The sequence below is a fragment of the Homo sapiens genome, chromosome 12, assembly GCF_000001405.40.
Source record: "Homo sapiens chromosome 12, GRCh38.p14 Primary Assembly".
Taxonomy (NCBI): Eukaryota; Metazoa; Chordata; class Mammalia; order Primates; family Hominidae; genus Homo; species Homo sapiens.
In genome coordinates, this window is record NC_000012.12 from 67,069,454 (window position 1) to 67,096,745 (window position 27,292).

The 27,292-nt window shown below is 38.7% G+C and overlaps 1 long non-coding RNA gene across 1 annotated transcript, besides 1 other annotated feature; it reads right to left on the bottom strand.

Moving 5' to 3' along the window:
- Window positions 236–295: a silencer, noted in NCBI's record as "silent region_4639". NCBI's record gives its function as "represses an Ori minimal core promoter by ATAC-STARR-seq in GM12878 lymphoblastoid cells {active_cell/tissue: GM12878}" and the evidence as "EXISTENCE:reporter gene assay evidence [ECO:0000049][PMID:35858748]".
- Window positions 8,173–26,831, bottom strand: LOC102724421 (uncharacterized). Its single transcript, NR_120490.1, has 4 exons — window positions 26,653–26,831; window positions 25,277–25,404; window positions 22,094–22,175; window positions 8,173–8,291 (listed from the first exon to the last, which is right to left on the bottom strand). It is a non-coding gene; the product is annotated as an uncharacterized LOC102724421 (long non-coding RNA).
- Between the last annotated feature and the right edge of the window lie 461 nt (window positions 26,832–27,292).

Below are 27,292 nucleotides of genomic sequence, written 5' to 3' on the forward strand. Positions count from 1 at the left end.
GGCTGCGGAGCCCCCGGGAGTGGGCGCCGGCGAGAGGAGTGGGCTGGCGCCGCCGCCTCTTTCCCCTCCTCCTCCTCCTTCTTCCTCTTCCTTGTCTCTCCGCCGCCAGCAGGTGGGACTCGGAGCCGCCGCCGCACAAAGCTCCGCCGGCGGCAGGACTGAGGCTGCGGGCTCCCCGGGCGCCTCTCGGCGGAGCCTCCCCCGAGACGCGCGCGAGGCTGAGCGGGCACGGAGGGGGCGCGCGCGCTCACACCCTCCGCGCCCCGGGCGGCCTGCGAGGCGCGCCCGGCCTGCCAGGTACCGAGCCTGGCACCGAGCTGCTGGTGCGGAGCCCACGCCGCTCCACCGCGGCCGCCACTCCCTCTCCGCCTCCCTCCCCGAGCCCAAACTGGCGGCTCCTCCGGCTTAGGCGACGACCTCGGTGGAGTAAGGGGCAGTGTCCTTCCCTCTAGTCCCTCCTCCGCGCCGCTCTCCCTACGCCCTGGCTGTCGCCCCCTCCCCCAAGTTGAGACTTGCAGCTACGGATTTGCTAACTTCGCCCTCAACTGAGGGAAATAGCAACTTTTGGGATGGTCAGCGCTGGTCCCAGGAATACGTTTCCTGGCAGGGTGGGGAGGGCGTGAATGGAGACTCTCTTTTGTTTTAAATGATGCAGGGAGACCTTGGCTGAGTGAATATGTAATCGCTGTCTTCAAGCATAGGAAGGGCTTTATGATCAGGTTTTATGATTAGTTTCTTCCCCTTGTCATAGGCTCATAGAAAATCGGTGGAAAAATGAGTCAGGTGGGAGGGAGACAGCTTTGTGATACAGCCTGGAAGATTCTGCCCAGACATGGGACTCTTGCTTGTGGTTTCAAAACGGTAATGCTAGGAGGGGCTCCTGACAGTGTTCCAGGTGACATTCGGTGACTGTCCTGTGGAGTATGACATCTGCCTCTGCCTCAAGGCTGGGGGCTGGCTAGAAAATACCTGTCTGTCCCTCCGGAGTATCTGATGTGGACCGAAGAATTTAGGGCCCCTGAGGCTGTAACTACTGGTTTGTGGTTGTTGGGGCCCAACCACTGCACTGCTATGAATGACTCGGTGTCCTGCAGTTTATTTTGGCCTCTGAAGGAACTGCAGTTTGCTCTCCCGAATTGAGGACATTGGCTCACACTGGCCTTCTCTCCCTCTCCTCTTGGAAACATAGTAATACTGCCAGAGAAATATATTAATTAGAAAAGGCTGAAAGATAGAATCTTCTTTTCCTCTGCCACTGCATAAGCGGTCTTATCGGGTGAGGACGTTTGCCTCTGCTGCTGTCCCTGGCCTGGGTGGCTGTCTGTCATTACAGAACTGCCCAGCTGCCAAAGCAAATGGCTATCTCTCCTAAGCACTGGAGAGGCTCAGGTCCAGAAGCTTCAAGGATAGAGGAACTGAAGGGCTAAATGAAGGGCAGAGTCAAACCATCCCAGGGGGTTAGCAGTAGAAATCCTGTCTGAGCTGTTCAAATCTTCTTTCCAGACTCTTTGAGAAGTAAAATCCAGAAAATCAATATGAACGTCACACCTGTCACCTTTAAATGGCCCACCCTTCATCCTAAAATGAACAAGACTCCTTGGGTACTTTAGTCTGCTCCTAACCTTGTTTCAAGGTCTAGTCCTGCCAATTTTATATAGAGAAAGGCATTTGCCATTGATTTCCCAAAGGGACAAGGACAATCAGGCCATAACCAAGACATTTGATGTATGTATACAAGCAAAGACCTAGGTTTTGACAACAAAGAAATGACCACAACATTTTACAGCAGCTTATATAACATTTATATGTCCGTAGTGGGTCTAACAAGTATCGTTCTGGAAAAGCCACGCAATAAATGCCTTGTGTGGACTGAATCATACTCATACAGTTATAGTGCAATCAGCAGTACACTTGTCCTGCCAAGGTGAGTGATGGATTATAGTGCAGAGGAAGTTCCAGCTTACACCTGTTAATAGTATTTTAAGCCACATAGGCAAAATTCCTACAATGTGGTAGACTCTGGGCTAAAAGCTAAGGATACAAAAAGAAAATTATGCTCATGCCTGTAATCCCAACACTTTGGGAGGCCGAGGTGGGAGAATCACTGGAGCCCGAGAGTTTGAGATCAGCCTGAGCAACATGGCGAGATCCTATCTCTATCAAAAGTAAAAGAAAAAGAAAAAAAATTAATTAGCCAGGCATGGTGATGCACATCTGTGATCCCAGCTACTCGAGAGGCTGAGGTGGGAGGATCACTTGGGCCCAGTGAGCTGTGATTGTGCTACTGCATTCCAGCCTGGGCAACAAAGCTGGATCCTGTCTGAAAAAAAGAAAAAGAAAAAGAAAGAAAGAAAAAAGAAAAGTATAGTTTAGTAGGGAAGATCAAGTTAATGCCTTCTTCTGTGTGTAAGGGTCAGATATTATTTTATGTATTATACAAGTGAGATTGGTTAAAGAACCTCTTAAGGATAGATTCGTATCCTTCCCATCACAAAATACTTATTGTCTAAACACTTGTTCACCAATATCCAATGTCTTGTGTCATCATTGTACGTACACCAAAGTTATCAACGAGGCCCTAAGTTCTCTCAAGAGGAACCATGGCTTAACTCTCTGCATCCCCAGAGCCAGAGACAGTAAGCATTCAATCAATGTTAGTTGATGATGATGGTATTTAACCTCACTTGAGCCACACATAGCACATCACCACAGGGAAATAGCCCTTTAATGAATCCTTTTCATGATACTGTTGAGATCACTCTATAATATCAGACCAGAAAAAAAGAATGAAATCACTGAACTAGAAATACCATCTGACCTAGCAATCCCATTACTGGGTACATACCCAAAGGTTTATAACTCATTCTACTGTAAAGACACATGCACACATATGTTTATTGTGACACTATTCACAATAGAGAAGACTTGGAACCAACCCAAATGTCCGTCAATAATAGACTGGATAAAGAAAATGTGGCACATATACACCATAGAATACTATGCAGCCATAAAAAAGGATGAGTTCATGTCCTTTGCAGGGAGATGGATGAAGCTGGAAACCATCATTCTCAGCAAACTATCACAAGAACAGAAAACCAAGCACCACATGTTCTCACTCGTAAGTGGGAGTTGAACAATGAGAACACATGGACATAAGGAGGGGAACACCACACACCGGGGCCTGTCGGGGGTGGGGGGCTAGGGGAGGGATAACATTAGGAGAAATACCTAATGTAGGTGACAGGTTGATGGGTGCAGCAAAACACCATGCCAAGTGTATACCTATGTGACAAAACTACACATTCTGCACATGTACCCCAGAACTTAAAGTATAAGAAAAAAAAACTTAAGTCTGAAATACTTGGTTTTATTGTCTAAAATCATCTTATGTTCAAAGCACCATTTATAAAAATCTATTCCAAGGAAATCATAGCACTATTTGGAGCTTTATGAGGAAGATATCTACCAGCCAGTAGGACATAAGATATATTCTTTTTCTCCTTTACTAAATTTGAAAATCAATATCCTTTAAAGACTGAAGCTACAACTACAGCCACTGTTTATAGACATCATCTCACTTATATTAAGAATTTGTGGTCCTTATTTGAACACAAATTCTTCCTAGTTATTTGTGTAACTTGAAAGGTTTTGCAGCCTGGGTTTATAGAATTCAAAATTTAGTTTAATTTGTTTTACCTTAACCAGTGTGCATAGTTGATTATATAGGCCAAGAGACGTACTCTTAAATGTGGCCTCACTTGATCTCCTTTTCCATGTAAAATTTTCAAAATAAAGGGGCAAGAAGACATAATCTCCTACTCCTAGTACCTCCTTCACCTGGTAGGAAAGAAAAGGAAAAAAAACCCTGTAAACTAAAAGCTTTAATTTTATTGTTTGATCATCTTTTTCAAGCTTGCATGGATACATTCAGTCTATTGAAGAGCTGAAAATGTGTGTGATAGAGAGAAAGAGCAACTTCCCTTTCATTTCCTTTGTACTCTGACAACTGAGCTTCCAATCCCCTGCTCACAGGGCTTTCATACTAACAGAGTGTTATGACTTCTTGGGACTGAATTTCATGAGTTTGAGGAGTCCCCCAGGAGAAGTAAAATCCCAGCTGTTATTCTGGATTTGCTCCAGGGCCTAAAAACATCCACAATATATTTTTTTAAATCGTGCATTGACTTTTTATGAACACACACACTGCATACTAAGCAGGCACCTGAAATTTTCAATAGTGCTACCAAAAAACAGCACTTATTTTCCATTGCATACAGTGAATTTGAAAACTATTTTAACACCTGATATGCACTCCTAGTGGGTATCTGTGGATTCACTTTTACCTGACAAATCCTCTTTCAACATTCAAAATGAAAGAAACTTCCTTGGACAGTTTATCATCTTGGGGAAAAAATAAAGAGAGGAGAAAACAAAGAGAATGAATTCAAGTTGCTTTTACTTTAAAATCTTCAGTTAGGAGAACGTAATGGGAGGAAGAGGAAGCATAAGAAAAGAAGCAGCTCTAACATGGATAATTTAAGTAAGGTGTGTTTGAAAGCAAACAGCAAGTTCACCTAGGAAAAAAATATTACAGTGTGTTTTAAAAAATGACAGTATAGGACACTGCAATTGGGGCCAGAGAGATTGTGATGATTGATTTCATGTGTCAATTTCACTGATCCAGCAGGCACCCAGATATTTGGTCAAACATTATTTTTAGTGGGTCCGTGTGGGTGTTTGGGGTAAACATATCAGTCAAATCAGTAGAGGGAGTAAAATAGATGGCCCTACCCAACGTTGGATGGGCAGTCGGTGGGCCTCATCCAATCAGTTGAAGGCCTAAGTAGAACAAAAGGGTTGACCCTCCTCCAGGTAAAAGAGAATTCCCCCTGCCTGATAGGGCCATATGCTTTATCATGCATTCAGACATGAACTGACATGTCGGCTTTTCCCGGATCTCACACCTGTTGCCTTTGGACTGGAGCTGCTCCGTTGGCACTCTTGGTTCTCAGGCCTTTGGGCTCAGACTGGAAATATAGTATCAGCTCTCCTGGGTCTTTAGCTTGCCCACTCACCCTGCAGAGCTTGAGGCTCCCTAATCATGTGGGCCAATTCCTTATAATAAATCCCTTGCATATTTATATGCATCTTATGGGTTCTGTTTCTTTGGATAACCATAATACGGAGACCTAAGCTCAAATCTTGGTTATACCACACACTAGCTCTGTGACCCTGGGCAAGTCTAACTCCATGTCACCCATGTTTGAAATGTAATGCCTACATGGAAATGCTGTGGGGAGGATTAAATGAGCTAATATAAGTAGGGCACTTAGCACAGCATCTGATGTGCAGCTAATTATAGGTAGAAAGAAATTAATATATTGTTTTAAAAGAGAAGTTATGCAGAGTAGATTCTTGGGATTCATGAGCTTCTAAAAATATGAGAACTCCCTAAACTTGTATGCAACATTTTCTGTGGCTATTTATGATCCCCCCAATTACACACACACAAACTTGAGGATAAAAGAAGTTCATAGCTTTCATCAAGTTCTCAAAGAAATACTTAATCCAGAAAAAAAAAAAATGAAGGTTTCTGATAAGCATGAGAGGAAGACTCCATAATATACAATTAACTTTGGGTTCTGCTAAAGAAAGAAAAGGATTAATCCTAAAGAAATTCACTTTCCTAATTGAGCTTTAGGATTACTGACCCTGAAACTCTCCACTCTCTCTTTGCCTTTGCATTCAAACTTTTCAGAAAGTCAACTATACCCCTGACATCCAAGTTTTCAACTCTTGATTCACACCTAAACTAATTGCAGTTTCTCTGTGCAAAGGCATTTTCATCATTGCAGGTCCCTGAGGCAAAAACATGAGGAACATTTTGACTCAGTCCCAAATCCCCAATTGGCTATCAAATTCTTTCAAATCTACCTTTGAAATAATTTTGGAATCTCTCTCATTCTTTTCCATGGCATTGCCCTGATTATTGACCTTATCTTTCACCTGGACAATCCCAATAGCCTCTTCCAGGTTCACTTCTTCAGTCTATTCTTACTCCAAACTGCACTGCAGTCAACCTTATTGTTGTTGTAATTGTTTTCCTTTAAGTAAAATGACAATTCATTTTCTGCTGTCTTCAGGTCTTCCAAGAATTCCTCATACCTATTCTGTCTTCTGCCACAATTATTGTACACGAGCACACACATGTCCTTTCTTCCTTCCTTCCTTGAACTGTCCCTAATATCCCCTTAAACCTGCTCTACCCTATATTACTTCCATTCCTTAAACGTGTCGTGTGTTTCTACACTTTATACCTTTGCTCATTAGGACTAAAATAAGTTGAGTGCCTGAGGCTAGAGAAGTTGCCTTACAACTAATATGTGCTGGAGCCAGAATTTGAGTGCAGGGTGTTGGACTCTAAAGTTTATTATCTTTCCACCCCACATTGAACTACTCACTTGCATTTCTCCCCAACAAACTTTTACTTCTACTCACTTTCATTTCTACACAACAAACTTATTCTACCTCTTCTTTGCATCTTGATTTCACCCATTTCCTCTACCCCCTGCACTACCATGTCCTTGTTTAAAGTATTTGAGTGAATCTTATACGTAAATCCGGTCTACCCTACTATTCTCTAAGCTCTATAGGAAAGTACGTAGAAGTAACCTGATTCTGGAGTCAGACAGTCTAGGTTCAAATCTCAAATTCTCCATCTGGGTGATCCTGGGCTTCTCCCTGTCTTTGTTTCCTTATCTGTAAAATGGGGCTAATAATAGGACCAATCTCATATCATTGTTGGGTGGGTTAGATGAGTTAGTGCATGCAAGCATTTAGACCCAAGTCTGATGCATAAAGAGAATCCAATAAATTTGACATATTATTATAGGGCCAGGTATGTGCCTTACATACCTTGGTATTATCACAGGCATTAAGCATTGCACCTTATAAATAGTGTGAGCCCAGTGGATGCTTGCTGAAAGGATGAATATTAAAAATAGTTTTAATTTCCTACACAAACCTCCTGTGATCAGAAAGACTTGGCCCATAAATATACTAGAGATAGAAATCTTGCTTATTACAAGGTCTGACAATATTTCTAAAAGGAACCTTTTAGGTCAGAATGGAGAGCAATGACTTCATTATCCCGAACAAGAGAAAAATGACTAATTGAATAGAAGACTAGACATAAATAAGCATTTCATCAGGAAAATTAAATAGAAGGTTCCTACCTTCATGACAAAAACCTGCTAATAATAAATTCAGGTTTAGTCCCTTGAGTATCTAAAAAAATTAGAGCAATGAAGTGATTAAGAAAACTGATTTCAGAGGAAAATTAAGGTGGCTGGTTATATCTAGTATAGATTGGGGAAGCAATGACTAAGAGCTTTCTTGGTGGAAATTCATAGGATCATTAAAGGAGTAAATACCAAACAGGAAAAGGAATTATTTATCATGTTGGAGGTGATAAATAAAAGTAAAGGAATAAATGAAAGGAAAGTGTAAGCTCGTCAAGAAGCAACATTTAATTTGTATATAGGCTGAGGAGTAGTGAAAACTACTGGTTAGAAAATATTGTGTGCATACATCTTCTACTGGTTATTGATTGATTCAATCATTTTAGGAAGCAATCTGGCAATATATAGAAACTGCAAACCACATATCATTTTACCTAGGCTGAGCCAGGCGGATCACGACATCAGGAGATCGAGACCATCCTGGCCAACGTGATGAAGCCCTGTCCCTACTAAAAATACAAAAAATTAGCTGGGCATGGTGGTGCACACCTGTAGTCCCAGCCACTTGGGAGTCTGAGGCAGGAGAATCGCTTGAACCCAGGAGGTGGAGGTTGCAGTGAGACGAGATCACACCACTGCACTCCAGCCTAGTGACAGAGCGAGACTCCATCTCAAAAAAAAAAAAAAAAGAAAGAAAGAAATAATCAAAGATGTGACCAAAGGTTTATGCTTGAATATGTTTATCATACCTTTATTTATAACAGCAAAAAGTTGGAAAGGTTCTAAATGTTCAATAATAGAGGTTTGCTTAAATAAGTTAAATTGACTATTGTAGAGCCTTTAAACATCATAATTTAAAAGATAGTAGTAAATTCTCATGTTATAACATTTAGCACAAAAAAGGGTTACATATACCATACTTCACAGATTCTAAGAGGCATAGTTTTAATATTTTTACATATCTAAAATCTGAATATTTCTTGTCATTTCATGGCATGTCCAAGTGTATTAAGACTTGCAGGTGGGGTGAGGTCAGCTTGAAGCCAAGTTCTAGAAACAATAACAGAACACTCTTTCAAGAAATGCTGTCTTGCCAATACCCTAGTTGAAACAGAAGATATTGTGTGGAAAACCACAAACATTGAAAAGTCTGAATCATAGAGTGAATCATAAGACTTAAAGTTTAAACATGAAAAAGTTTTAGTAATACCTAGACAATTAGTTTCACTTATTTTTTATTATGTAAGTAAAGATATTTGATAAAACCTATGTCTAAAGGATTTCTTTCAACAAGTATAAAATAATAATTCTTAGTCGTTAAGCATTGTGTCATAGTACTAGCATAATTTTTGTTTATTTTGTAGTAGTGCATAAAGTATTGATGGATGTTAATAAAGATGACCTCCTAGATTAACGAAAACCAATATGTATATATAGTATGAACCAAACTTTTCTTAGAAGGGAAGAGATGCATCAAAATGTATCCTGTCTATTAACATTATCTGTGAGTTTTATTCTCCTCTTTTTATACACTTTAATATTTTTCTTAAAAAGCAATATTACATTTCAATACAAAAATTTTAGTAAATATTGTTTTTAAAAACAATAGAGAAAAAAACGTAGACTAAGGTTTTTCTAGACTACTCTAGAATTGGTATATCTATCAGCCATTCTGTAGTAAATAGGCTAAGAAATTGAAGTAGAGAAGTTTGAGTTCATTCTTGCTTCTGTCAATGTAACCATTTACAAATGATGTGGTTTTCTAAAATTTTCCTTTGCCCCTGTGTAAGAAATACACAATAATGTTCACCAGCCTATTTCAAAGTAACAGTGACTGAACATCTGGAATGAAACAAATAGATTATATCATAATTGCAGGGCATCTCAGTAAAGAGTATGAACACAAGCATTTTGTAAAGACAAATCTATTTTCCCTTTAACTTATCACTAAGTAACATTCATCTCCACACTGGTTATGGGGCCAGACCATCCAATCTATTGAAATCCCCAGGAACATCAACCTCAGATCAGTTTGTCTGATGTACCAAACGATTTTTTTAATACCCCTTAGGGATTTGTAAGCTTATTTATTTTTACAACCTGCAAACTTCAGTCTCGGCAATGAACATAAAGTGCCTGACACATATGTATTATGCATGTATGAGCATTTGTTTATATTATCTTTGACTTTTTAAAATCTGTTCAATGAGCCTTTTTATTCCATACTTGTTATATACGATGTTTCATTAAGATCCATGAAAAGAGTCTCTCCTAGTTTATATTTATATTATTTAAGCACTACAAGTGATATTTGCTACTGGTTATGTAAATGGAAAATAACTTATGAGATTTATGATGTTATTTTCTTTCCTGCACTTGGTGACTGGGTTGCCTCTTGGTTTTTATTTATGTCATGAATGATAATCAGCTCCTTCTGTTTGCCCACCCGCACAGTTGCCTGAGCTTTAGGTGTGGCTGGAAATGATGGTGGGGGAGGAATAACTGCACTCAGTTCAAATGATAATAGCCCGCTCCTTCTATTACAGCAACCGTGAGGCAGATCAGCTTCCAAGAAAGAATGCCAACCTGCTTTCTGTAGGTGAAGAAGTCCCAGGGCTTGACTCAGAAGGTCCTCTAGCACCGCACTTTGCAGTCAGTCCTGTGGAAGATGCAAAAAGACCTATCCTATGGAAATGCCTATAAATGATTAACAGGTAGACAAAGGAATTAACTCAAAATTGTAAGAAAGAGTAGATTAGATGAGCACCAAGAAATGTGACTGTCTACAGCCACCTTGAAATCTAACAGGAAACAGGCCAAATGGCAAATTAGACTGTTTAATGGTTGTGTGTGAAAGTGCCTCCTCCTCATAAAGGAACTGTAACAGATCCACTCTTGTGCAAAGAGAATGTTATAAACAAGATAATGAAGCTTCGAGATAGCTTCCCTAAATTCACTAAGTCATTAAGTAAATTTTACATTATAATCTAAGTGAAAAAAATAAACAAACCAGAAAAATCAAAAACAAACCAAAAATAGACCAGAAAAGCCTGAACAGGTCCTAAATGAAATGCCATGAAGGTCTCCTCTCAGAATCACTGTGGATTCTCTCATGCTCCGGATGAAGCAGATTGTATCAAGCAACAACATCACTGAACTTTTATTGAAAGTGCAATCCATATTCTACAAATGAAACTTAGAGTTTCCTATCTGTCTGCAATTTAGTTCTATTTTTAACTCATTTCACAGCTCAATTAATATTCCAGTGTTTTATTCTTCTTCACATATTCAGAGCAGCCTGAAATAAACTTTACTTTGAAGCTACTTCCAGCCTTTGCAAATCCTTACCCTTCTCAGAACCTTCTTTTCCATCACTGCTATTTGTTCTTTCTCCCTGGAGACTTCCTTGTTGTCACTTCAAGATACAGACCTTGCCACCTGCTTTCCACCATTCCAAACTGCACCTGTCCCAATTGTAATCTCTGCTTTCTAAGTGCAAGTTAAGTAATCCAATACATTAATGTGTGCTAATGTATTATTGGTCATTATTGTGCAAATGAAAGCATGTTAATTTCCTATCCTCTTTTCCCTTCTGGGAATTTTTACTATTTTACTATGGCCTTTTGAAAAATGGCTCATTTCAAAGAGGTGGTATTGGCAGTGGGAATTTTTAGGTATCAGACCTATGGAGGGAAGTAGGACAATCATGTGTGTGTGTGTGTTTCCTCAAATCACAACATGGAGGAATGGCATCACGTGGGTAGTAGCTGATGCATTTCACTGTTACATTATGGATAATTCTGCAACAGTTCTGTTCAGAGCTGCTGTAGACTCAGCATTAGGTTAAACTCTAGAAATATGCCATGTAAAGTGACTTGCATTTTCATGTCTATTATAAAGGTTAAAACATTTGAACTTTCTGTTTAATTGGTATATATTTAAACTTCTCTTGCAATGGTCAAAGAAAGACTTTTTGGCATTAAACTGCTGCTGTGTAGAGCCTAAATGTCTGAAAAATTCATTAAAATAGCACTTTAATTTTGACAGAGTTGAACTGCTGGGAAAATTAATTGATTGTTTCTCACTTGAGCTTTGGAGAAGTCATTAAGGTTTTTATGGTTTATGGAAAATTGAGAATTGAAGTACACTAAAATCAATATGTTATCTGATGTACAGAGAAAATGGCACTTGAGATGAAAGAAAGCATAAACAATTCCTAAGAGCTTTTTCTTTCTTTCTCTTGATTCCACAGGCATATTTGCATAGAGCTTCTATATTTACTTGTATTCAAAGTCCTTTGTCAGTCGTTTTTATTGTGATGCACATTATGGGGACAGAATAATGAGGTCAGAGAGATGAACCACTGCATTTTAGAAACTTTTCTGTTAATTTCAAAAAAAAAAGTATTAAGAACATAATATAAAATACCAGAAATAGTCTGGGCATGGTGGCTCACACCTGTAATCCCAGCACTTTGGGAGGCTGAGGTGAGCAGATCACTTGAGCCCAGGAGTTCAAGACCGGTCTGGGTAATACAGCAAGACCCTGTCTCTATTAAAAAAAATACTAAAATACCAGAAATATTCAGATAGGTCTGTATATTTTGAAACAACCCTTAACAAGAAAGTTGTAATTAGGCTAACATGTTAGGAGCAAGGAGAAATACTTCGAGGTTTCTATATATATTGGGCTTATATGCATTATGGAAAAAATCATCATGCCTTCTGCAAATAATGGGTAATGAACTGGATGCTGGCTGGTGCTGCCAGCAAGACTTAGAAGCCCACTCTGTTATATTAACCAAGGATAAGAACAGAAAAAGAAAGAAGGGTTGTAACAGAAAAGATCATCATGTAATTTAACTTTATTCAGTCCTCTGAGTATGTCCTCTCTGACCATCCCTTCTTCGGATTATACACATCAGTAATCCTGGGGGGATTTGACCATATTCAGATTATGCAAAGCCTGGATGGATTGGGGATTTTAAGAGTAGCCACTTCTGCATTTATCCACTTCTACTATCTCTATTCCAGAGAGAAAATGATATTTTCCTTTTTGAATATTCATTGCTGCTTCCAAACTCGTTCAGCCTCAGACTGACTCTTTCCTTTCTTGGGTAGCTAACATCACTTCTAATTCACTCAACTTCCTACAAAGTCATACCCACAGTAGCCCATGCAGGCGTGGGATATTCTGGGAGACTGGTGAGATTGTTAGTGATAAAATACTTGTTAGTATGAGATTTGTCTCAGAAGCACTAAGTAAATCATGTAACCCTATAGGTAACAGATTTATCGGTTATCATTGGATACTTTAAAACTCAGGATAGTTATCTATTAAGAATTTACCCTAGAGCAGGTATTTTTGAGATATTCAAGCAGTTACATAACAAGACAAGAGTGTGCTCATTGAGTTAGCATTTGATACTTGACATGTTCAGATTTACTTGCCCATAGTTTTATATTTTATCCAATTAACCATTGTTTTCTCTATTGGGAAACTAATCCTAAAGGAATATACCACAAATAGAGAAACTCTTTAAATCTCTTTTATAACTTACATACTTAACCTCTTTCTTTGCTTTTGTAGCATTATTATCAATGTCTGGAAAATTCATAAAGTCATTAAGAAATAAGCACCCACTCAAACCAAGGCAGGATGCTGGTTCATCTTATGGTTGTCAGCCTGGTGTGCAGCCCTTTACCTTGTCTTTATGCTGCCAACCTGTGAGTGACTAATCCTTGCCTTCTTCTCCCACAGTCAATTTATCCTATTATATGTTCTCATGATAGGCATCTCTGAACATGTTCTAACAACTTGTTCAGAGGAAGGCTTTCAGTTGAAATGGAAGACGACTAGCAATTTTCACTCCTCCAATAGTTGTTCATAAGAATATAATTTATTAAGCTATATCTACTAAACTAAGAATAAAAATGTCTTGTTCATGATTATGCTACAGCTCTAGATTTATTGAGACACAAAGCGGGGGAGGATAACCTTTTACACTGTAGCATATATTCTTTTTTTTTTTTTTTTCGAGATGGGGTTCTCACTCTGTCACCCAGGCTGGAGTGCAGTGGCACAATCTCAGCTCATTGCAGTCTCCATCTCTCAGGCTCAAGAGATCCTCCGAGTAGCTAGGACCACAGGCATGTGCCACCACTCCCAGCAAATTTTTTGTATCTCTGGTAGAGACAAGGTTTTGCCATGTTGCCCAGACTGGTCCTGAACTCCTGAGCTCAAGCTATTCATCCTCCTCAGCCTCCCAAAGTGTTGGGATTACAGGTGAGCCACCGCGCCTGGCCATCATTTTTTTTTTTTTTTTTTTTGAGACTCAGTCTCACTCTGTTGCCCAGGCTGTACAGTGCAGCGATATCGGCTCACTGCAACTGCCACCTCCTGGGTTCAAGCAATTCTCCTGCCTCAGCCTCCTGAATATTTGGGATTACAGGCACGCGCCACCACCCCCGGCTAATTTTTGTATTTTTAGTAGAGATGGGGTTTCACCATGTTGGTCAGGCTGGTCTCAAACTCCTGACCTCGTGATCCACCCGCCTCAGCCTCCCAGAGTGCTGGGATTACAGGCATGAGACACCACGCCTGGTCACATATATTCTTTACACGGGGGAATCTGTTAACTAAAGTACAGATTGGAGTCAAGAGACTTAAGTGTTATTATGGTTTTTGCATGTGATCTGTTTAATAATCCCAATTATTTGATATGTTCTTTTCTGAGCAATAATTTTTTGCCTCTAAATTTAATACCCCAGGACCACAGGGTGTTAATCCACTGTGGTATTGTTTTTTATTCCATTTTATAATAAAATACATTTTCTATTATGATTACACTTCTCTCTCGTAGAAAGAGAATCTTTGAGTCAAGACATGGTGTCCATGAAATCCACATTAAACCATACGTGGAGTATGTAACATGTTAATGTATTAGCATCAGTCATAACATAATCAGAGATGGGGTCATTGCATTGTAACCAACTAAGAACCAGCTCAGCAGGTAAAAATTGCCAGGAGACTAGAAAGATGGTGGAAATCAGATATGGAGTTGTTTTTCAGAAGACAGACTTACAAGAAGGGAATGGGAGGATCCCTGGACAGGAGCAGGAAGACACTGCCCAACCAGCAAGTAGGGAGCCAGCTAATACTGAAGGGGCCTCTAGAGACAAATCCCATCTCACAGAATTCTCTGAAGCTGCTGTTGCCCAACTAAATATTTAAACAAAATATTCACGTCCACAGTGAAAAGGACAAAAATTACCAGCCACAATATTACATCTCTCTTTTTTTTCTTTCTTATAGCTCTATTTGCAACCTTGGAATTAGATTTGATTCTGACAAGGATATTAGTAGACTGCCTGACTTCTTAATCTGATAAAAATCATTGGTATTTACTGGGACCTGGATCATTCTGAAAATCAGCAACCTGATCTTTCTTGGTACACTCTGATATCACTGATGAGAAGACTTTCTTTTCCTTGAAAGTGCAGACAGTAACAAAGACAGAAAACACTCCAGCCCTCATTGGCGAGCAAATAAATTCAAGGGATCAAGGACAACCTCACTTCTTTCTCATACAAATCCTTTCCTGCAACACAACACCCCCTTTTTTAAATTGGAAAGACTTAAAGTCAGGGAATAGAAACTTAAGTATAGAAGGCTCACATCAAATGTATAAATATGAGAGACAACATAGTGTAGTGGTTAGCAGCATAGAATCAGACAGAACTTTGCTGGATCCCCAGTTTCATCACTTATAATCTGTGCAAATTCAAGTAATCTTGCTGAGCCTCAGTTTTCTTGTCTGTAAAATGGGGATAATAATACTAATTACTTTGTTGAACATAATAAGTATGCCATGAATTAACTGTTAATAGTTTTTTAAATTAAATATTGTTCTACTAGAATCTACTTCTGAGATATACAAGTTTTCTAATAATATAATTATAAAGATAGCTACCATTCAAAATTTTAAACAAATACATTGTGATCAAGGAACTATAGGTCTATAAGGTATCCAGTGCTGGAACAGGTGCTTTATGAATACAAAAGAATTATAAATTCTAGCTTTTAGGGAGAAAATACTTTTTTTTTTTTCTGAGATGGGGTCTCACTCTGTAGCCCAGGCTGGAGTGCACTGGCATGACCTCAGCTCACTGCAACCTCCACCTCCCAGGCTCAAGTGATCCTCTCACTTCATCCTCCCGAGTAGCTGGGACCACAGGTGCACAACACCATGCCCAGCTAATTTTTTTGTATTTTTGGTAGAGACGGGGTTTCACCATGTTGCCCAGGCTGATCTCAAACTCCTGAGCTCAAGCTATCCGTCCACCTTGGCCTCCCAAAGTGCTGGGAATACAGGCATGAGACACCATGCCTGGTCTGAAAGACTAACTTATAAATATATAATCATTAGTATACACAAGTGGTATTAAAAACAAAACACTGCAATATTTATTTTACAGCTCCATCTTTATCGTCAAATCACATGTAAATGGTTATGTAACATAGTACTTAGTTTTCCAATGCCTCGAAACAAGTATAGATGGTAATAAAATAATCTATAAAACAAAGTCAGAAATTGTGTAAAGTGGTAGCCCATTCAACTTTGCATTTCCTGATTTTACTTTCTTCATTGCACCAGCTGTTGGAGTATCATTTGAACCTCTGTAATGGGTAACTGAAGAGCTGTCCCTGTGGTGCAGTGAATCCAGGCTGAAAGGGATGAACTCATTTCCATGCTTTCTATGTCAGCTAAATCCTCAATGTTGGACAGAAACTCTCAAGCATGGCCAGACTGGAAGAAGGTGATTCTGCTAGCTGATTGGAGTTGAAATGTGCAACTAGACAAAACCCCATGTTCCACTCCTACAAGGTAGACAACAGAAACAAATTTCCTCTGTTTCCCTTCCTTCCACATCCCTCAAGCCATACTTAGTTATATGATGATATTCAATATCTATTTGGAAGTAATTATGACCACATTATAAACAACAACAACAAATGTTTATTGGCATCTAGGAACTGCCTTGGCTATCATACTACTTGTAAGGTGAGGAGAGAAAGGAGCTAGTAGAACTGGATGTTGACACAGGCTTACTTCTATGGCAACATTTTCCTTTTTCCAAAATGAATGCTGGAATTGCCTGACCGCCTGGGAGTTATTTGTTTCACGGTTCAAAAGTTTGTTTACTGAGCTTTTGTTCTGATAATGATCTGAAAGTGAGTTTTGCTTTGGAATGAATGGCAAGTCTAACTTGAATTTTTTTATTATTGGAGCTGTGCTGCAAGAGGTCAAAAATGACCATATCACTGATCCATGGAGAAGGACAGAGATACTCTCTTTAGAAGGTTAACCTTATCTACAGTTTAAAGTAACCTTTTAGGAACACACACACACACACACACCACTTACTCTATCTTTGTCTACATATTTTGCTTCACTCTACAAAAGTAAAGAGGGGAGGGTAATTTAAAACAATTAATAATTCTTATCTAAATCAGATCAGTCAATTTTTCCACATCTTTTTACTTTGACAAAGAACGTAACAGTCTTTCCCAAGAGTAAACAATTTCCAATGAATGCTGGCTCCTTTGGTTAGGACAGTGTAGGGAGATGGGTGTTGGTTACAGAATAACTCAGGTCTTCAGAAGCGTGACTACATAATAAGACATGTTTTCAAGGCCAGCTGATGAAATTTCTGTAACTATTTTTGTAGTCAGATCTTCTATTGATATGTCATATCTTTAAGATATTTCATATGTAAATAAGTCATATTTATTTACATGTGATAATGACTTCAAAATTATTGGCTATTGATGTGCACCATTCCCATATAATAGTTAAAATATTATTTCTGTTAAAATAAACACAATGATGCATTCAGAATTTGTATCTTACTGCGGTTTAAATAAAATTTTATATTATTGGTTTAGTGTTCTGACATACAATGCAAGGACATAGCATCTGGTCCATTTAAACCCATAAGTGTCTGTACAGCATATTATAATTATATTTTAAAATTATTGTAGGGGAGAAGAGGATCTTAAATCCAAATTTTGAAAAGAAACTGATTGTGGAATTCTTTATTTATGTTCTCAAAATAATACCTCAGAAGATTTCATGCAGCCAGGCATGGTGGCTTATGCCTGTAATTCCAGCACTTTGAGAAGCTGAGGTGGGAAGATCACTTGAGGCCAGGAGTTCAACACAAGCCTGGGCAACATAGAGAAACCCTGTCTCTGCAAAAAAAAATTTTTTTAAATTAGCTGGGCATGGTGCTCTACCCATATAGTCCCAGCTACTTGAGAGGCTGAGGTGGAAGGATAGCTTAAGCCCAAGAGGTCAAAGCTGCAGTGATCATGCCACTGCACTACAGCCTGGGCGACAGAGCAAGATCCCGTCTCAAGAAAACAAACCAAAAGAGATGACACTTTAATGGTTATTCTGGTATCATCTAGGGATGAACACACACATGCACAAATTTTAAGTAGGTGATATTTCCCTAAGAGATATTCCTTAAAATAGTTGTCCCATATACATTATTTTGAATAATGTGTTATGTTTAAATGTTTATTTTCAAATTTACATTTGTATTTATTGATGCTCATCTAGCCTTTCCTTAAAGAACATGGATCACATATCTAGAAAGAAACACTGGTGAGGAGTAAGCTCCAACATCACGCATGAACTTGCCCTAAAATACTCAGTCTTTCTGATGAAGATTACCTTAAGAAAGTGAAAATACTTTCAAAAGTAATATTTTTAACCATTAAATGTGACTTTTGGGGGACAATTTTGAAAAAGGTGCTTTCTTTAGCTGCTGAAAGTGGAAAACACCCGCTGAAATTAAGGCTATGACCATTTGTCATAATGCAGGCCATACATGGTCACAGCATTTTAAGTGGAAACATACTATGTCTGATAATCTTTCTGTTTTTTTAGAGGTCTTTATATTACTTTTACAATAAAAGAAAGAATAATAGAAGCCCAAAAAGTAGCAGTTTTTAAAAACACAAAATTTCTATCTTCTGTTTAAGGATAGGTAAGTGAAGCTATGTTTAATAAAGAAAAATATCAAGGAAATATGATCTTACCCAAATTTACATTTGAATTTCTATCTCAGTTAAAAAATACTTCTGTATTCATGCTAAATCCTGGTCTCAGTGCTAATATTTTAAATACTGGCTTGAAACTACCAATTCTAAAAATGGAAATAGTGTAAGCAATCTCTAATTTCATAAAACATGAGAATGCCCATTGCAAGGAAAATTCATAATGGTTGTGAGTTATGTTTGTTTTTCTTGTTACTTTTTATTGCTAAAACTCTTTCACCAAGCTAGTATTTCTTTTATGTCCAGGAGGCAAAAGAGCTTGGCATTCTGTTGAATTTGTTCATCTAAATGTCAACTTTTTAAAAATGGAATGAGGATTTTGTCTTAATATTTTCATTTAAGACTACAACTATATGACCTTTAAGATCCTCTCTTACTTTATAATCTCTGATGATTTTATTACACCTTCCCTTAAAATTAATGATAAAAATCTTTACAATCATTCTTAAGTAATATACATTGTTATATTAGCCTAAGACAGAATATAAAAATATTCTGTCATCAACTATGCCTTTCTGTAAGGATAGTACAGATCTCAGACAGTCTCCAAAGAAGTTTTCTAGTGTCTTTGAGTTGCTGCCTGAGAAAAAAGGAGCACTGAAAGACTTCTTCTCCAGAGATTACATTCTTGAACCCAAGGCCTTTCCTCCTTCTTCTTCCCCATCTTTGTGTTACCTCGCTCTTCTGTGAGTATCTCTGAAGTGTGCAATACATGCCCAGCAGGACTGCATAACAATAGAGATAAGACTATCTTTGCATTTATAGTAATTCAGTTTGCCAATGTACAGATGCACAGCAGTTTTTGCTTAAATTAGGTTGCTGTTTAGTTTAACTCCTTACTCTGATTCAAAAACTGTCTCTCAAGGTTCCCTGTTGGGTTTGCTGGCTCATATTTCTCCCTTTGATCCTGGGTTCACTCTGCCTTCCTCACCAGCTCCCAGAACTACCTGTTTAGTTCCAACTAAAAGTACTCTTACTGCAGTTGCCCAGTGCTGGCTCCGTAGTTCTGTATTCTCTTCAGTCTGCCCATTACTCATCAGCCTTCCACTGCTCCCTGAATGGGTCTCCTTTCTCCCTGGGCAGCTCTAAACAGTCCTTTTTGCTCTGTTTAATGTTTAACTTTTCATTTTTTTTTTTAGAAGCATTGTCTTGCTTTGTCACCCAGGCTGGAGTGCAGTGACACAATCCTAGCTCACTGCAGCCTGGAACTCCTGGGCTCAAGTGATCCTCCCACCTTGGCCTCCCAAAGTGCTGAGATTACAGGCATGAGCCACTGCGCTGGCCTTCCATTACTTGTATTTACATATCCATACCCATGATTTAAAGAATGCTATCTGTACAGAAATATTAGCATTCAGTATGATAAATTAAATATGTTTAAAAATACATGTGTTTATAATGACACTTAAAAATGCTCACTACTCACCTTTTGGAAACTGGTAACAAAAAGGAGGGTGAGGGGAGACAGAATCAACCATTTATCATACTTTTCCCATAAGAACCATGTTTCAGCATCACCGAATAGTTGATAAGGGAAGGCTTTTTGGTTTGTTTTTGTTTTTGTTTTAAAGAGTTGCAGCTAATAAATGCAGAAGGCATAATAGAATTTACATGTCACCATTTTGCAATCCCTAATGAAATAAAGAATTTGGGCAATGACCCTCAATGGCTTCTAAACCATTAGATAAAAAACTTACTGAGGAATTATATAAAGAATGAATCAAGCTGACAATACCAGAACACACTGATCAAATTTAACATTACAAGTAGGGAAACAATCATACACTCTATGCCTCATCATATAACGTGAAAGAAAATACACAACACAAACTATTAAATATTTTTATAGAAAATTGGCTACACAGGAAGCTGAGGCAGGATTGCTTGAGGCCAGGAGGAGTTCAAGGCCACAGTGAGCTATGAATGATCACACCTGTAAATAACCACTGTACTCCATCCTAGGAAACACGGAGTGACCCAGTCTCTTTAAAAAAAAAAAAAAGAAAAGAAAAGAAAAAAGAGGATTGAGCAAGATTCTTATTGAGCTCTCTATCAATTTTATAGGAAATACAGGAGACAGGATATCACAGGAAGGCAATCAGAAAAATTCAGAATGTGGGAAATTTTACAGGACAGATTATCTACTTTTTTCAACAAATTATGAGAAAGACAAAGAAGAAAAATGTGCGTATATATCAAAGGGAACTTTAGTGACATATTAACGTGTAATGCATGCATTTTGGTTTCTGATTTGAACAAAGCAATTGTAAAAAAACGATCTCTTGGGAAACAGAAAAATCTGAAGACTGAATATTGGATAATATTTGATAATATTGAATTATTAATTTGGGGGTGTGATAATAGCATTGTGATGTTTTTTTTGAAGAAAGAATCCTTATGGTTAAAAGATATATATAAAATATTCATGGATAAAGTGATGTAAACTCTGGAATTTGTATAAAAATAAGCCAGGACATGGGAGAAGCAAATGGGGTATAGACAAAAGAAGATTAGCCACGAGTTTTCAATTGTCGAAGCTGGTGATGGCTATGTGATGCTTCATTATACTATTCTATCCACTTTTGTATATGTTTAAAATTTTTCATAATAAAATGTTTTAAAGGATTTAGTAACTAATATATTTCTTTGAAGATGTAATAGGAACTCTACTGTCAAGAGAGAAGCTGATTCCAGAAATGATAGCCTGTGAAGTGGAATCTATTCTATAGGATTGTAGTGATACTCTCAATCTACCCTCTTTTCTCCTTTTCTCCCCAAACCTTCAGAAAATCTGGTACTGCCTGTTAAAATGCAGGCATTGAATGACCACAGGAGGGGAAAAAAGGCGTTTCCTAGGAGAGTAGTGGTTTATCTATTCGTTTTGGAAAATCCCCACTTTGTCCTCACCACTCTAGAGAGGAAAGTGGTGATCCACCCAGGTGAGTTCAAGCCCCTTTTAATGCCCAGTGAAGCTAGCAAGTGCCCTAGGGCTACCTGTGAAATGATCTTGGAGCCACAGCCATGTCACAGGCTGGTAGTTTCTTGCTAGACTGGAGTAAGCTACTGCTATAGGAGCAAGGTTGGAGGAAACTAAGAATAATCTGCAGTCTAAATCAGGAAGTTCAAGACATGGAAAGCACAGTTCTAATCTTGACCAAAAATGAAAACGAAGTAGATTGGTGGTCAGATGCTACCATGAAGACTTCTCAGGCCCATCAGGACTCGGAGAAGAGGGTCAGGGCCATCTGATAACCAGCCTTGGTTGCAGAAAAGGGTTCAGCTCTAAGATAGACTTGGAGTGTAGACCAGGAGTCAGGAACATACACTTTGGAGAAAGGTAGTGATTTAGTGGAGAGGCTGTAATCCATAGATGATGTGGTCTCCTAGGAGTCTGATGTCACATGCAACCACACCGATCCTGGCAGTAGAAACCACTCAGTAATAGTGGAGATGGAATTTGTATGTTGCTTAGTGTTGAAGACCTGTTGCTTTTCCATTGCACACTCTGCCTCCCAGCTCATTGAGCTGACTTGGCATATGGGAGAGTCCTTGGGCAAGCAGCTCTGTTCTCTCCTCTTGGTGGTGTTCTCATCTTGGCATCCCTCCCAATCCCTGTTAAATGCTAATCCTTTGCTTAGGCAGCAGCAGAAGAGAGCCAATATGACACAGAAGAAAGAAGAGGGAAGAGCCAGTGGGAAAGTCTTGGACTCCGGAGGCAAACTCACCTGGCTCAAATCCTGGTTTTATTTCTTCCCAGCTCGCCATCTTCTGGCAAATTTCCTGATTTCAGAGGGTTTGTTTTATTGTCTGTAAAATAAGCAGAGCATTATCTACTTTGAAGTATTGTTGGAAAGGTTAATGTAAAAGGGGCTATGAAATATGAAATATTAAAGTAAACAGGAATACCACCTCCTTTATAAACTTGTTTTGGCCACTTGGGGTCCTAGGAAAAATAGAAACAAGGGACTAGGGGACAGCAGAATCTTAGGAGACTTTAATAGTATTTGGTGTTCCCAGATGCTGAACCTGTCTAAACTTGACCGAGGAAGAGTGGTTTTCATGAAAACCTTATGAGTCAAATATTACTATACATTGCCCAGTGTTTTAGCAGCAGTAGCCCCATCCCATCATCACAGGAGTAAGGGAGCTGGAAGGAAGTTTCTTGCTGATGCTTTCTTGTCCAAAGGACTTATTTGTTTTTCTATTCCATGATTTTCAATACTATCAATAGATTGGACATCAGACTTCCAAGAAGCAAGCCGCCTGAATGACGCACACCAAAACAGTTGATTCCTTTGGGCTAGGGCAAGGATGTCAATCTAAATCAATTAGCTGAAGCATTACATCAGGGAAAGTCTAAGATGTTTTTTCAAAGAGATCAAAAATTACAGAGAATTAGAGAATAGGGTAATGTGTGAGGAGTTTAATTTCTCTCATACACTGTAGTTCATAAGTGAACAGTACAGGTTGAGGGATGGTTCTGCTCTATGTGAGCTGTAGTATGTGGAGATAATAGCAGATAACGGGGGAACGCAACAGATTTTTAAATCTTTTGCTCATCTATCATAAAGCTCTTTATGCTTTTTAATATGATTTCTCAATATACAGACATGGCTTACTAAATCTTAACTTTGTTCTTCTTTCCATCCCATTCTATATCAAGTATATTGAAGATAGCTAACTACTGATAATTTTATGAAGGAGCTAAAGAAATTTAAATGTGCCAATAATGCTTTACACTTTGCCAGCGTAAAAAAAAAAATAGCCTTACTTTGCTCTAGAATAGTCTCTAGACTTATTATTGGCTTTGACTCATGGGTTTTATGCATATTTTTAATAGGGGAATCACTGCACTCGTGTTTAACAGAATAGATCAACATCATTACATTTAATTTTAAATATCTTGTACTAGATTAGCTCTTGAAAACTCTAGATTTTGGCCAGTTCAAAACAAAATCACCAATAGGTAAAGATACAGAATTTAAGAAACTAGGGAAAATAAATATTCAGCCCAGTAACCCCTTTAACATCCTTTCAAGATGGTCTTTAATCAACAGTCATCAAGAAAAAGTCTCTAACAGTTTGGAGGTTCCTCATAAAACTGAAAATAGAACTACCACATGATCCAGCAATCCCAATACTTGGTATATAATATACCCAAACGAAAAGAAATCAGCATATCAAAGAAGTGTCTGCACTCCCATGTTTATTGCAGCATTGTTCACAATAGCCAAAACTTGGAAACAACCTAAGTGTTCATCAGCAGATGAATGGATGAAGAAAATGTGGTACATATACACAATGGAGTACTATTCAGCCATAAACAAGAATGAGATCCTGTCATTTGCAACAACATGGATAGAACTGGAGGTCATTATGTTAAGCGAAATAAGCCAGGCACAGAAAGACAAACATTACATGTTCTCATTTATTTGTGGGATCTAAAAATCAAAACAATTGAACACATGGAGATAGAGAATACAAGGGTGGTTATTAGAGGCTGGGAAGGGTAGTGGGGGGATGGGAGAAGTGGGGATGGTTAATGGGTACCAAAAAATAAAAAGAGTAAATAAGACCTAGTATTGAATAGTACAACATGATAATTACAGTCAATAATAATTTAATTGTACATTTAAAAATAACTAAAAGAGTATAATAAAATTGTAGCACAAAGGATAAATGCTTGAGGGGATGGATACCCCATTTTCCATAATGTGATTATTACACATTGCATGCCTGTACCAAAATATCTCATGTACCACATAAATACATACACATACTATGTACCCACAAATATTAAAAAAAAATTTAAAGAACAAGTCTCTAGAAGGTTGCTGTGATTTTGTTGACTTTCAAGTTAAGTTGCTAAAAATATTTCTCCTGTATTTGTTTTGTTTGTTTGTTTGTTTTTGTTGGAGACAGAGTTTTCACTCTGTCATCCAGGCTGGAGTACAGTGGCGTGACCTTGGCTCACTGTAACCTCCACTTCCTGGGTTAAAGCAATTCTCCTGCCCCAGCCTCCCAAGTAGCTGGGATTACAGGTGTACACTGCCATGCCCGGCTAATTTTTGTTTATTTGTATTTTTTTGTTTTGTTTTGTTTTGTTTTAGTAGAGATGGGGTTTTATCATGTTGGCCAGGCTGGTCTCAAACTCCTGACCTCAAGTGATCTGCCCACCTTGGCCTCCCAAAGTGTTAGGATTACAGGCATGAGCCACTGCTCCCAGTCTGTTGTTTTTACTTTATAAATACTTGTGTGTTATCAAAAAACCATATTAGGCCCTCCTCTAACATTAATCTTCCAAAGCCATTCTTTGGTACAAGTAATTAAGACTTCTCTTTTTCCTGGGCTTATGGGACTTATTTCAGATCTACTGAATAATTTTTATTATGATTAGATTGGATGGGTTTACACTACTATTCCTTAGTGACAAAACCTTATGGAATATATTTTTCCACTAATTGCATGATCCCCAAATAGCCCAATGAATAAAGAAACATTAGTTGGTCAGGCACGGTGGCTCACGCCTGTAATTCCAGCACTTTGGGAGACCAAGAAGGGCAGATCGCCTGAGGTCAGGAGTTTGAGACCAGTCTGGCCAACATGGTGAAACCCCGTCTCTACTAAAAATACAAAAATTAGCTGGGAGTGGTGGCGGGCGCCTGTAATTTCAGTACTCGGGAGGCTGGGCAGGGAGAATCGCCTGAACCCGGGAGGCAGAGGTTGCGGTGAGCCAAGATCATGCCATTGCACTGCCGACTGGGCGGCAAGAGCGGAACTCCATCTCAAAAAAAAAAAAAAAAAAAAGAAAGAAAGAAACATTAGTTATCTCGGCATTTTGTCTTCCCAACACAAAATATCAGGTAAAGGGTTTCATCTGGAAAACTAAAATTTTCCCCACCTCTTACCTCATAGGTGATGCCTTGTAGACACAGCTTTGGACAGTAGATGGAATGAAACGTCAGACTGGAAGGATCATGCTAGTTTCCCTGAATTCTGGTCAATGTCCCAAGATTGAAATGAGTTGTTCCTAGAGCTGTGGGAGTGGATATCTGAAATTACTTCTTTAAAAGCTGCAGGAGGCTTTGGGACTATGAAATGGTAAAATGAAATGGTAAAATGTCAACTTGCAGGAAATTAAACGTTTCAAATCCTGAGCTTGACCTTGGAAAATGTTGATTCCTGAGCAACTACAGGAAGGAAAATCACAGCCACAGTGGACTCGGGCAAAGAAGGTCATCTAAACACAAAGCCTAAGAGCTCTCCCAAACAGTAGAATGCTGGAATAAGGAAAAAACAGGACAAATAGGTCTTAACTCCAGTGCTACTGGATCCTAGTCACTCAAATTCTCTAAAAGCCATTGAGCCCATATAATATAGTGATTTAGCATCTGGGCTCTGGACAGTCTCGGTTTCTAGTGCTGGTTCTATCATTTACCACTGTGTGACCTCAAACTCTCTACGCCTCATCTGTAAAATGGGGCTAGCAATAGAACCTAACACTCAGGATTGTTGTGAAGAATCAGTGAGTGAATATGTGTACACTTGGCACATAGTAAATGCTCAATAATAGAGCTCCTGTTACTATTCCCATGAGCTGCTGTGAGAACACCTGAGATAAAAGATGTGAACATGCTGTGAAGAACACAAATGGCCACACAAATTCAAGGTGTTGCTAGTTTGTTTAGTTTTCCAGTAGACCTACCTTGGTAGCTCACCAGAGATCTGGATGAAATCTCAAATTGTATTGGGAAAGAGTATGCCTTCTATAATCCTGGTAGTACCTGCAACTTGTGTTTCCAAAAGTTATTTCTTCTTTGTATGTGTCTGGTGAGATGAAGGCCTAATGCTGCTGGCAGCCATGCCCCTAGCCTGAATCATTATCAATTATTTTAATAAGGCACAGATCCATTCCTCACCCTTGCAATTGAGAAATGCTGGAAAGGACACAGGAGTAAGAGAGTTATATTCCTTACTTCTTCCTTATTCTACCTTAGACCCTACCCCTCTTAGGTTCTCTGGCCAGTTGATTAGCTATACTTTCAGTCATTCCATAGATTTATGATGCCTATTCTTACATAATCTAAATGACAGAACCAGCACTAGAAACCTAGACCGTCCTAGTCAGGAGTTACAAAGACCAGCTTTCTGCCTGTGCAGAGATTAAACCTAGTATATGGGGAATTGGACCATTAATTTGGGTGGTTTAATTTGAAATGAAGTGGATTCTGCTACTTGAGAAATATTCTTGGAAGGAAAACAAAAACCCAAACATTCTACTCACTGTGAGAGTGTAGAACAGTGTAAAAGAATGGGCTTATAATTTGGGAGATGCTTTGAGTTTCTGCATGAAAGATGTTATCAGAATCCAAGAATTTTTGCTACTCAATAGCAATCCTATCAGAAGGCAGGCTTTTTCCCAAGGCCTGGTGGCATCAACCAGCTTAGAGTCCAGAGAAAAAAGCATTAGAAACAAGTTTTCTGGATGAAATGACACATGGAGTTATATAGAGTTAGCAAAATACATGATATTTTGAAAAGTACTCCTGAAGCCGAGCTCCGGCTTAAGAGAAGAAATCAACAATGAGTAAGATTCTATGGAAGGAATTCTGAAGAGTTCTGAGAATATTTTCCTTTTCTCTTAACATGGATGACCTTGTGTGTGTATATACTATCATTGACTTCAGTAAACATTTATTGAGTGACTACTTAGTCAACAAAATAAATGTACTCCCCTATCTGTATCCCTGTAAAACACTCATCCTCTTGCAGTCTCTGGGGAAATCTCAGCAGAGGGGCATTTTGCTCAACTTAATCCTCAGAGAAAATCTGAAGATGCCCTCATGTACTTTCTTGCCCAAGAAAGGCACTGTCTAGCAGCTTACATCCCTTTTGGCCTGATGACTAAATCACAGCAAAAATGG